Source organism: Homo sapiens, chromosome 5 (genome assembly GCF_000001405.40).
Source record: "Homo sapiens chromosome 5, GRCh38.p14 Primary Assembly".
Lineage (NCBI taxonomy): Eukaryota > Metazoa > Chordata > Mammalia > Primates > Hominidae > Homo > Homo sapiens.
This window is the reverse complement of record NC_000005.10, coordinates 62,324,146-62,337,388: the sequence shown is the minus strand read 5'-3', so window position 1 is coordinate 62,337,388 and position 13,243 is coordinate 62,324,146. Positions and strand designations below refer to the sequence as shown.

At 40.3% G+C, this 13,243-nt stretch overlaps 1 protein-coding gene and 1 pseudogene across 4 annotated transcripts in view; both read right to left on the bottom strand.

The window, feature by feature from the left end:
• KIF2A (kinesin family member 2A) overlaps positions 1 to 13,243 on the bottom strand; it is an 84,820-nt gene that overhangs the window by 53,637 nt on the left and 17,940 nt on the right. The window lies entirely within an intron of this gene.
• Positions 1,845 to 3,930, bottom strand: LOC100421358 (CREB regulated transcription coactivator 2 pseudogene; annotated as a pseudogene).

Genomic DNA, 13,243 nt, shown 5'->3' with positions numbered 1-13,243 from the left:
TCCTGAATAGCTGGGATTACATGCACGCGCCACCACACCTTGCTAATTTTTGTATTTTTAGTAGAGAGGGGGTTTCACCACGCTGGCCAGGCTGGTCTGGAACTCCTGACCTCAGGTGATCCGCCCACCTTGGCCTCCCAATGTGCTGGGATTGCAGCCATGAGCCACCGTGCCCGGCTGGTTATACTAATCTCATAAAATGATTTTCTATGGCAGAGTTTTCCCTTTCCGTACTCTAGAATAGTTGGTGTGAAATTAGATTATTCAACTCTTGAGTATTTGGTAGGCACTTGTTAAACCATCTTGCTTTGCGTTATTATAAGAAGATCCAATTTCCTTAATAATTATAGTATTAGTTTTTATTGTTTTCATAATTATATTTTTCTAGGAGTTTTAGATAAAGTTTCCACATTTTTGGCATCAAGTTCATATCTGTTTAATGCCTCTGGCATCTGATATGATGTCCACATTTTCATTCCTAGTATTTTGGTAAACTTTTTTCTCTTAATCTCACCTGGGATTTGTTCATTTGTCTTTTCCAAGAATAAACCTGACTTCGTTGAGTCTTTTTTATTAGGTGTTATTATGTACTTAATTTCTGCTATTATTACTTCTTTCTTTCAACTTACTTTGGGCATATTTTACTGTTTTTTCCCCTTAAATTCTTAAGATGAATGCTTAAGTCATTCACCATCCTTATTCTATTTTCTTTATAAGCCGCTAAAGCTACACATTTCTTTCCCAGAACTGTTTTAGCAGCATCTTACAAGTTTTTACATGTAGTTTTTTTGTTATTGTTCAGTTCCACCTATTTTTCTAATTTTCATGATGCTTTGTCTCATGAGTTATTTAGAAATGTTTCTCAAATTCCAGACATGGGGGTTTTCTAGGTATCCTGTTAATGATTTCTAAAGGTGAGATAACTGACCAATCAGAACAGACAGAGTCACAATAATTGGTATGACTTTTCCCAGTGCACAGTGGCTGAATACCCCTGTATTTCTACCATAACTGTACTGGGCTGCCTTCCTTGATGGAAAATTTCTTATAAATCTAGCTCCAGGAGCAAATCAGCGGCATTTAAAAACCAGCATTTTTAAGAGGAGCCGCAGAAGTCCTTGTCTTCAAACAGTGGACCTGACTCTGATTCTCCTTTAAAGTCTCTTTCTCCCGCATCATCCTATAGGAATCAAACTTTTGACATCCATGCCTGCTTCAGCCTCATCCATCTCTTAGAATTCCTGTTCCATTACTAATCCATGATCTTGTTTTTGAGCTCAGCTATGCCTTTTTGGTTTCCTCTTATGTGTTTGGGACAGAAGGATGCCAATACATGAACTTTATTATACTATTTTGAACCAGAAGCCTCAATCCATCTTTAAGTCCTAAGTCATATTCATAGAAAATGAGGTCAGATTTGAAAATTCTAAGTTTACATTGTTATATAAAATCAATACTACCATATAAAAGATAACTTATAGTTTCAAAAACTCTATGGCTTTTTAAAACTTAAAATCCAGAGACATATTTAAAAGTCTTCCATTTTGTTTCAATCTAGTTGTAAACATAAATTAGTACAGAAAATGTCATCTGTTAGGGGTAAAGTGAAACAAAAAACACCTGCAAGGAGTTTTCTCAATTTTTTATTAAAATATTTAATTAAAAATAATACCCACTGTGGCACTGTCCTCCATTGAGAGGTGAAAAGGTGGTGAGGAGGAGCTGGCAATGCCCATCTCTAGGAATCCGGACAAGCCCTGCCTCCCAGGTTCCCGTTTATATCCCCAACTTTCCAACAGGTTCTGACCTCCAGGCAGTTGGTTCAAAGTTACAAGTGCTTGTGACCCTCCCTTGAGCTCCTCCAGGCCCACCCCTGTACAGAATTCAAGGGCCACCTGAACAAACTCCTTGCTTTTTCTCATTTTTGGGCTCCTTCGTTCATGCTACAAAGAGGATCTGAGGGACAGAGTGGCGTCTCTACTAGCTGGGGTAAGGGAGGAAATGGACAGTAATGGGGGACAGGGCCAAGAAGAGGGATGGTGATGAATACTCCAGAGCAGGATCGGGTAGCAGGGCACTGGGTCTCTCAGCATGTATAGCCCTTCCAGGCCCAATAGCTCCATGCGCAGCTCATCTTCTAGCCCTAGCCCCAACTCCAACCCTGCTACTGACACCTCAAAGCCAGGCACTCCAGCCAGGGTTGCTGCAATCTCCTTAGAGAAACCTGGGAAGGAGTCTCCTATGAGGATGATGTTCAGCCTTGAGCCACAGCAGGAGCAGTGGTGGGTCAAGTTCTGGTGGTTGAGGGTGTGGGAATCCTGAGGGCCAGCCACTGGTCCCTCACCTTCTAAAAATCCAGGCCCTTCAGAAAAGCCAGGGGGACCCATCACCAGGCTGATTTATGGGCTCTCCATGCTGAACTGCTCCAGTTCCCCAGGCTGAAGTCACTCATCGGCCAGTGAAGACTTGCCCAAGCCCAGTGGGCCGAGGCGGGGAGTATTCCATAATCCAATTGCCTGCTCAGGGGCTACCCACCTGAGGGCTGCGCTGAGCAGGCCTGAGAGGGCAGCTCTGGCTGCTGTAGAGACTTTGGGGTGTGTGGCTGGGTGTGCAGATTACTGGTCTCCAGGGGGACACCCTGAACGATGGAAGACAGGGTGGGTGACACTGGCAAAAACTGTTTGGGTAGCTGCTGTTGCGACCTTCTGGCATCGGCTGGACCTGTGAGCAAACTTAGGGGGCTGAGGGGTACAAGGCAGTGGTGGTGGGGAGGCCCCAGGAGTAGAGGTTGAGTAAGGTAGGGGCAGATGAAGAATAAAGTGGAGGACGAGAGGAGGAGTAGGAGAAGGAAGAGGAAGAGGGGGAGGAAGAGGGGGAGGAGGAGGAGAAGTGGGGGGCAGGGTACTTAGTGAGGGCTGGCCCAGGAAGGTAGTAGGCAGGGCATGGTGGGCCAAGGAAGAGGGAGATAGTGAGGGGAGACTGTGGATGCCCTGAAGATGGAGCTGAGGACTGCTCAGGGAAGTCTGGAGATCGGGATTGCTTAGGGAGGACTGCAGGGATGGGTGGCTGAGAGGTGAACAAAGTCCTGGGGCATCATGACCTGGACCCAAGTCCAGGCTCAGGCCCTCACTAATGCCCAGGTGAGTCATGATGTGAGTCAAATTGGAGGTACTGTTGCCCCTATTCAGGCTAGAGTAGGCTGTCTCCTCAGGGTCCGGGGGGTGGGCAGTGCTGGCAGAAAGTACAAATTGATGAGGTCAGGTAGGGACCTCCTGCCACATCCAGTCTTCATGGCAGGTGGGAGGACAGGAACATTGGCAAGCTGGCCAGGAAATGGAAAGATATTAATTCCAGGGACTTCATTAGGACCGGGGTCAGGAGGAGGGTGACGACAGCTTCTAAGTATCCCATGGCTTCAGCAAATGCTTGTCACCTAGGAGAACTTCTCCTCAATAGCAGGTACTTTGGAGTCCATTTTACCAACCTGAAATGTTGGCTGGGCAGGATGCTGGGAGGTGTGGGGCCTGAATAAGTATCCTGGGGACTGGGGTTCATCATACTTGTGTGAAGGGCAGAGTCAGAGCTTGTCCTGTTAAATGCAGATGCTGGGCAAAACAGGTACCCCTTCTCTGCAGGGAAATTGTCCCAGGAGATAGTCCTTCACCAGCTGGACACTTGGGGAGGAGATAAGTAGGCAGGACTATAGGGAGAGCTGTCAGTGTGGTAGGGTGTTGGCAGAGAACCACCATAACGGGAGCTCCTTGTGTATGGCAGTTGCAGTTTTTGGGTGTGTAACTGGGTGGAGCTGATGTCCATTATCATTTCCTCGAGGGCCACTGTGTCCTCAGCCTGACACTGCTTCTGCAGCGTGATCTCACTAAACTTGCACAGATTGAAAGCCAAGGCTGTGGCCGAACAAGGCTCATTTGCCCTGCCCCTGATGTCGCCATCTTCCTCCCGTTCCTTCCTGACACCCTCCCAGTACAAGCCACTGTTCCTCCCTCAACACCTCCCAGCATCCTATTCCAGCCACAGCGACTGCCGCCTCAGCCTCACAAACAGTTTTGGAAAGTACAGGCAAACCCTGCAGAATAGCTCCCCAATCATTATTTTCCCAATAGAACACCTCTTGGTTTTTAATACCAAAACCTCCTAAAATGTGCTTTTCTCACAATGCAAGATTGTTCTGGCAAATATTTATGTAAGGAAAGATTTATATTTGTATGTGACAAAACTCAATTCGCATTTTAAATAAAAGATTGTGCAAGAAAAGTTTGGAGCTACATTCCAAATATAATCGATAGACTGTTAGAATCACAGTAGACATAAAAAATCATGCGAAGTATCAAAGTGATACAAAATGTAGGTATAGGATGATGCTTTTATCATATTCAGTATGAGCCATTTACTAACACAGTTTGCTTGTCCTCAATGTATTTCTACAGCCTCTCATATACTTGTTTAGCCTGTTTTGCTTACTGCTGAGAGTCCCTAAACATTTAAGAAAATGTTGAAGAGAACAGTGGGAATGGGCAAAAAGCAATTATACTGGAAGAAAAGATTTTACTATATATAAATCTGATTTGTTAATCTCATTGTATTGATCACACATGATGATATTTTACTTATACAAAGGTAATTCACAGTGGTTAGTTACATTTCTGAATTTGGTTAGGGAGTTCGTGTTGATACACTGCCATTTTTTCCCATTTAGTCTACATTCAACCATTTGACCTAAAAAAATGACAATTTCATATGGTCCAACTTAACATAAAAATAATGTTCACCCCAAACTTAGATGTCAAAAATTTATATAAATAAAATCTGCTAAATCAAATATAAATATAATAAATATTTTGAAATATAATCTTTAATCAAAGCCATTTCATGTTTAGCTCATTTTCAGAAACATTTTTACCCCACTTAAGGCTCAACTTTTTGTTAGGACGAAATTAAAGGGAAAACAGTTCACATCTCAACTTTTAATATCTGTTGGTAAATATCAAGATACATGATTTTTAAAAAGAAAAAAGCCACAAATGACTGAACAGCACATACATGCAAATTTAAGCCATCTTTGCTTCAGTGAAGAAAAATAAATACATGGAATTCATATTTCAAGACTTTCTAATCTTTAAGATAGTTACTTAAGATCTGGTATTAGTGCTATTTGTCATAAAAGCTCATATATTCATTGAGCTGTCAAAAACAAGTTTTACATGTTGACAATTGCCTTTTGGTCTCTGAAAACAGGATCCTATTATATGTTTTCTAGTTCACAGCTGAGTTCACAGCAGCTGTGAGGCTAAGAAATGCCAGCAACCAATTAGGCTGGCATAAACCTTGTCTAGCATATAAAGTATAATTTGGTTGCAAATGGAGGAGACAAGAGCCAAAATAAGTCAGCCAAGAATACTAATAAAATTTCATTACAAGTATTTAAAAGTCAGAATATTAAAAATCTAACAAAAATATGTATTTTATTAAGAAAATATAGTAGTAGAACGTTAGGAAAAATACAAAAAAGCAACAATCAATTCTTTTCAGATCCAAGCAGTTTTTTAAAAGGTTGCAGCTGTTTCTGACATACCTAGGATTACAAACTCTATGTTGTTTTTTTTTTTTTCGTTTCTATTTCTAACTACCCTAATCATAGGATTGTGGTATATGACCATACATATGGCAAGTCTTCCCCCAAAGTGAACATTATTTTTATCAGTTCCCCTTTAGACGTTTCTATAAAAATTTCTCTTCATACTTTTAAGACATTAAGACCTTTATAATTTTGTTTTTTTTCTTGAGACGGAGTCTCGCTCTGTCACCCAGGCTGGAGTACAGTGGACGATCTCAACTCACCACAACCTCTGCCTCCCAAGTTCAACAAACAATTATCCTGCCTCAGCCTCCCAAGGAGCTGGGATTACAGGCATATGCCACCGTGCCTGCAATCCCAGAAAACATAATTTTTTTTTTTTTTTAGACATAGTCTTGCTCTTGTTGCCCAAGCTGGAGTGCAATGGCACGATCTCAGCTCACCACAGCCTCTGCCTCTCCAGTTCAAGCGATTCTCCTGCCTCAGTCTCCCGAGGAGCTGGGATTACAGGCATGCACCACCACGCCTGGCTAATTCTGTATTTTTAGTAGAGATGTGGTTTCTCCATGTTGGTCAGGCTTGTCTCGAACTCCCAACCTCAGGTGATCCACCTGCCTTGGCCTCCCAAAGTGCTGGGATTACAGGCATGAGCCACTGCGCCCAGCCTAGACCTTTATAAAAATTTCAAAACCTAAATATGTATAAGAATAACACAACTTAAATTATTAGTAAAAATAAAACTTCAGTTATAAGATTGTTTATAATGGCTATTTCCAAATCCATTGAAGTTGTTTAAATCTGTTTTGTTTAAAGTATGATAAATTTAAAAATATAACAAATCAATGCTTTATAACATATTACTACAAAAAATATAATTTAAAAATTTGTACACATATTTTTAAAAAGTAGTCACCGGTGATTCATATGTATACAGCCATGTAATGAAAACTAATAGGAAAATCTAGCTTACCTGCCAATAAATTAAAATATATAGTGTGTCTATTCTTGATAAAACCTCTAGCAACCCCTTCCATTTTCAATCAGAATACCACCAAATAATTTAAAAGCATTTTTAATAGACTTTTAAACATATGCTAATAAAATCTAGTTATCTCCTGTACCTCTCAAGCAGAGACTAAGAGGAAAACATGCATAAATATCCATTCTCAGAAGAACAAAGAAATATTACTCTGAATTGCAAAATCACACATTCAGACCAAGTGTCTGGCAGAACAATGTTGTTTCCAGAAGATGAGTAAAATACATAAGTTTACTCAAAGTGGTTGGTAAACAGATGCTTGAAGGAAATACTTTCTTCCAAGTCATTCCACACCAGATAAATTACCTCAGAACACATTGATGGTAAAACCTTTGCCACTTCATATCAGGTGATTGATCAAAACCTATATTAAATAACAGGTTTTCCATTATTCTTTCTTTTTTTTCTCTTTCTTTTTCTCACTCTCGCCCAGGCTGGAGTTGAATGGTGCAATCTTAGTTCACTGAAACCTCTGCCTTCTGGGCTCAAGTGATCCTCCCATCTCAGCCTTCCAAGTAGCTGGAACCAGAGGTGCCTGCCACCACACCTGGCTATTTTTTGTATTTTTTGTACAGACAGGTTTTTGCCATGTTGCCCAGGCTGGTCTCAAACTCCTGGGCTCAAGTGATCTGCTCACCTCGGCCTCCCAAAGTGCTGGGTCTACAGGCATAAGCCACTGTGCCCGGCCCCATTTTTCTTAAATAATAATTAGGTACATAAAATAGTGGTTCCAATCAATTGTATATTTACTTAGTAAACCAATTGCCACTGTAGAATGCAAATTCAAAAATTTTACTGCCATCTTTCCAAGTTAAGTCATAGAAAAACATGTTAATAAGCTTTCATTGTCTAAAGAGTTTTAAGATTGGTCTTTTAAAACAGATACAATTCCTTTCTTCAGCTTATTAAAAGAATTCTAAAAGGATGCTCCTTCAAGCGCATGAAAATAATTCCCCTCTTTAATGTCTATATTATAATTTTATCATAACCACAAAATGGAGAAAAGTTGGGAAAACAAAGATTGTCAAATGCTGCTTTAAAATAGACTAAAAGGACAAGGATGCTACAAAAAAGCATTATTTAGAAAATGGAAGTTAACTACACAGTAATATTCACAGTAATGTTAACTACACTAACAGTCACACATTATATCTTGGTTTTGCCAACTACCTCAAAGCAGTTATTATTTATAATCTAACAGTAAATGTCAATTTATTCCTAGGTGCCACTGACCAGTAACTGAGGACAGAAAGCAATTTGATTTGTTGGAAGTCACACAGCAGATCAGCAGCAGAATTCAAAGTCTCAAATTCTGATATTCAGGTTGTGTTAGCTAATCTAAGCAGTGAGGAAAAGAGTCCTTCATGAGGACTATGTAGCATTACACCTTCTTCAATAGCTTTAGTGGAACAAGAAGCCATTAGAGAAGGACATAAATAATGTCTCAGCTGACACTGGTAACAGTGCTGTTGCTGTTTAGTAAATCTCTGGGGAATGTGACTTTGCCAAACATAGAGACATTTCTGTTTGGTTTATCACACTTAAGATGTTACTGTTTTTTAACTAAATTGAAAGTTCTAGTATTTCCTTTCTTAGACATTAAACACAAACCTGAAAGTTTGGAACAAGGAGAGAAAAAAGAAAATGATATAGCTAAGATTTTCATTACGAAAATACAACTTAAAAACGGGACAAATTTTATTCATATTGAAAACAAACTATGAATTTTCAAATTCTTACCTCATCTATTGTTTTGAAAAGGGATGTAAAAAATAGTGCTCAGTTTCTATAGGGTGATGGGGAAACTTCGGATCTGTTGAGCTGCACACTAACAATTAAGGTAGCATTATTATTTAGAAGGGCCCGTTGTGCAGCTTTTTAGAAAAGTTTCATTCAGAATTTGCGTAACAGTAATAAGAAAAATGTCATAAAGTAGCTATGATACCATTAAAAAGTATTAAATCAGGCCGGGCACGGTGGCTCACGCCTGTAATCACAGCACCTTGGGAGGCTGAGGCGGGCGGATCACCTGAGGTTGGGAGTTTGAGACCACCCTGACCCAAAATGGAGAAACCCCGTCTCTACTAAAAACACAAAATTAGACAGGCATGGTGGCACATGCCTGTAATCCCAGCTACCTGGGAGGCTGAGGCAGGAGAATCACTTGAACCCCGGAGGCAGTGGTTGCACTGAGCCGAGATCGCACCACTGCACTCCAGCCTGGGCAACGAGAGCAAAACTCCATTTCAAAAAAAAGAGTATTAAATCACTGTAGTTTCCTGATGTTGTTCAGCATATTTGGGGCTGGGGAAAAGGAAGGTTAAAACACCGTCCAAAACCACTTGTAAAGAGAACATAAAAACCAAAATTCTAAAATCACGATGTAATATGATTACAATTCTAGCTGAAATAGTAACAATGTAAAAAAAAAAAAAACCACACAGTACTAGAAATAACACTTCATGAAGTTTACTAAATAAGTTAACTAAATAAATCTCAAAACCTATTAGCCTTAATTAAAAGGCTATTCTTCGTATCTACATTCCTTTGGATAACAGAATATATACCAAATGTATCTTTACTTACGTGTTAAAGAATACAAGATTTCCTATTTAGAATACCAAAGACTTTTACAGTGGTGTTGTTAAAGCAACATGTTGCCAATAGTTCAAAATTCTGAAGAACTGTCTTTCCCAGGTATTCTCCTGAATACACTGAACGATGCTATCTAATTGTTCCCTGGCTTATTTACCCAAAAGGGAATTCCATACCAATACAGCAGTGCTATTCTGTGAACTTTTCACAGCTACATGTACATAGCATCTTCTCTTATGCATACATCCTAACGAGACAGGGATCTTGTGGAATGTTTTTCAACAGTTAGTGCAATGTTATTATTCCCCCCAGGACTCTGTCATCCCAACTCCTGCTCCACTCTACGTACAGGAAGATTATGATGATAGTGGCCCTGAGTCGTGGAAATTTCTACTTTCAAAGCCTGGCCAATTTCGGTTAGGAAAATAAATGATCACTCTTCTAAGCCCTTTTACCACTAGGGTAAAATGTATATTTCAAATTCAGTGCTGCCAGAACAAAAGGTACATAAAGAAGAATGAGATCACTGAAGCTCCATGTGGCAAGAAAGGCTAAAGTCAGATTATGAGTTTGGTTTTGTACGTATGAAGTTTAAGATATCTGTCCAGTGGAGATATGAAGTAGGCTCTCTAATAGACTGAAGTTGGTCAAAGCTGAAGAAAAAAGCTTGGGGATTGTCAATTTAAATCATGCATTCTCAGCAGAGGTGATATCCCCAAGGTGATAAAAACTGGCTCTTTGGAAGGGCAGATCTTAGATATTACAATGGTTTGTGGCCCTCCGAAGGGCTACAACCCATAAACAGATGCAGAGAAATTTCACTGCGATGGGGTGATTAGGCAATAAAGTAGTCAAAAGGCTTTTCAGGCAGAGCAATAATGAAAAAAAGTTTGCAAAACACCAATACAGACAGTATTTTTTAAGACAATCAAAGTGGATTTGACCACTAAGAGAATGAGGGTAGAAGTCCCGATCTTTAAAATTCTGTATAGAGGTCAGGGAAATGAGATACCAGCAAAGGAGATCAAGAATTTACCAGAGAAAAAGAAGAAAAATCAGAAGAGTAGTCACAGAAGCTAAGTGAAGGTATTTCAAACAAAAGGGAGTGAATTAATTGTGTCAAATGCTGCTAACAGATCAAGTAAAACAGGAGCAATGCCTCAAAGAGAGTAGTCAAGAGGTTTTTGTTTTTTCTTTGAGGCAGTGGCTGGATCTCGGCTCACTGCAATCTCCGCCTCCCCGGCTCAAGCAATCTTCCTACCTCAGCCTCCTCAGTAGGTAGGACCACAGGCATGTGCTACCATGCCCTGCTAACCTTTGGTATTTTTTGTAAAGAGGGAGTTTCACCATGTTGCCCAGGCTGGTCTCAAACTCCTGGGCTCAAGCGATCTGCCTGCCTCAGCCTCCCAAAGTGCTGGGATTATAGGTGTGAGCCACCACACCTAGCCTAAGAGGATTTTTTTTTTTTCGGATGGGAGAAATAACAGCATTTCCATATTGATGGAAATGACTCAGTAAAGAAAATAACTGTTGATGCAGCACAGAGAGACCACTGAAGTTGTGACTGGGCAGGTGAAAGGAGACAAGATCCAGAGTACAAGTGGAGGAAAGAGGCACAAAACAGGAACAGAAAAAATGTGTCCACAGCAAAGGAAGGAAGGCAGTCATATAGGCACAGATGCTGGTAGTTGGGTAGATGTGGCTGACTTGTAGTTCTTTACTGGTTGTTTATATTTCTTGGTGGTGAAATGACAAGCAAGGTCATTTTGCTGAGAGTGTGGGTGGGCCAGGAGCAAACATCCTCAAGGAATGAGGGAAGCTGGCATTATCAATAAGATTTCTATTTGAGAAACCAGATATATGGTGTCTCCACTAACCAACAGACAGAATACAAATACAGAAATATGGGGATAAAGGCAATGGATTCTGTTTTTGGTAAGTTTAAGATACTGGCAGGAAATACATGGGATAGTACCTAAAAAGTAGATCAGAAACCAAGAGAAATATTTGGTCTGCAGAGGCATTTTTTTTTAACTTTTATTTAAGGTTTGGGGTTCATATGCAGGTTTGTTACATGAGTAAATTGCATGTCACCGAGGTTTGGTATACAAATGATCCCATCACCCAGGTAGTGAGCAGAGTACCCAACAGCTAGTTTTTCAACCTTCCCACCCTCCTTCCTCTAGTAATCCCAGGGTCTATTGTTGCCATCTTTGTGTCCGGTATTTACCCAATGTTTAGCTCCAGCTTAACCAGTTCACCACTGATGGACATCCAGGTTGATTACATGTCTTTGCTATTATAAACTGTACTGCAATGAACATATGAGTACAGGTCTATTTTCTGTAGAATAATTTATTTTCCATTGTGTACATACCCGGTAGTGGGATTGTTGGGTTGAATAGCTTTAAGTTATTTGAGAAATCTCCACACTGCTTTCCACAGTGGCTGAACTAATTTACATTTCCACCAACAGTGTGTGAGTGTTCCCTTTTCTCTGCAACCTGGCCAACATCTGTTATTTTTTTGACTTTTTAATAATAGCCATCGTGACTGGTGTGAGATGGTGTCTTGTTGCAGTTTTGACTTACATTTCTCAAATGATTAGTGATGTTGAGCATTTTTTCATATACCTGTTGGCCACATGTATGTCTTCTTTTGAGAAGTATCTGTTCATGTCCTTTACCCATTTTTTTTTTCTTTCAGAGCAGGAATGAAAGTTTATTGAAAAGCTTTACAGTTGGGCATGGTGGCTCATGCCTGTAATCCCAGCACTTTTGGAGGCCGAGGCAGGTGGATCACCTGAGGTCAGGAGTTCGAGACCAGCCTGGCCAACATGGCGAAACCCCATCTCTACTATAAATACAAAAATTAGCCGGGCATAGTGGCGGGCACCTATGATCCCAGCTACTCAGGAGGCTGAGGCAGGAGAACCACTTGACCCAGGAGGTGGAGGTTTCAGTGAGCCGAGATCACGCCACTGCACTCGAGCCTGGGTGACAGAGCGAGACTCTGTCTCAAAAAAAGAAAAGAAAAGAAAAGAAAAGCTTTACAACAGTAAGGAAAGGAAAGAAAAGAAAGTACAACTTGGAAGAGGAACAAGCAGGCGACTTAAGAAAGCAAGTGTGTCCCTTTGCCCATTTTTTAATGGGACTGTTTGCTTTTTGCTTGAATTGTTTCTTATAGATTCTGGAAATGAGACCTTTGTCATATGCATAGTTTGTGAATATTTTCTCCCATTCTGTAGGTTGTCTGTTTACTCTGTTTCTTTTGCTGTGCAGAAGCTCTTTAATTAGCTCCTATTTGTCATTTTTTTTCTTTTTGTTGTAATTGTTTTGGGGACTTGGTCATACATTCTTTGATAAGGCCAATGCCCAGAATGGTACTTGCTAGGTTTTCTTCCAGTGGTTTTATAGTTTGAGGTCTTACATTTAAGTCTTTAATCCATTTTGAGTTAATTTTTGTTTATGGTGAAAGGAAGGGGTCCAGTTTCAATCTTCTACATGTGGCTACCCAGTTTCCCCAGCACCATTTACTGAATAAGGAGTCCTTTCCCCGTTGCTTGCTATTATCGACTTTGCTGAAGATCAGATGGTTGTAGGTGTGTGGCTTTATTTCTGGGTTCTCAATCTTGTTCCACTGGTCTATGTGTCTGTTTTTATATCGGTACCGCGCTGTTTTGGTTACTGCAGCTTTGCAGTACAGCTTGAAATGGGGGTAGTATAATACCTCTGGTTTTGTTATTTTTGCTTAGGATTGTTTCGGCTATTAGGTTCTTTTTTGGTTCATATGAATTTTAGAATAGATTTTCCTAATTCTGTGAAGAATATCATTGGTAGTTTGATAGAAATAGCATTGAATCTGTAAATTGCTTTGGGCAGTACGGCCATTTTAACAACACTGATTCTTCTTATCCATGATCATGGAATGTTTTTCTGTTTGTATCATCTCAGATTTATTTCAGCAATGTTTTGTAATTCTCACTGTAGAGCTCTTTCGCTTCCTTGGTTAGCTGT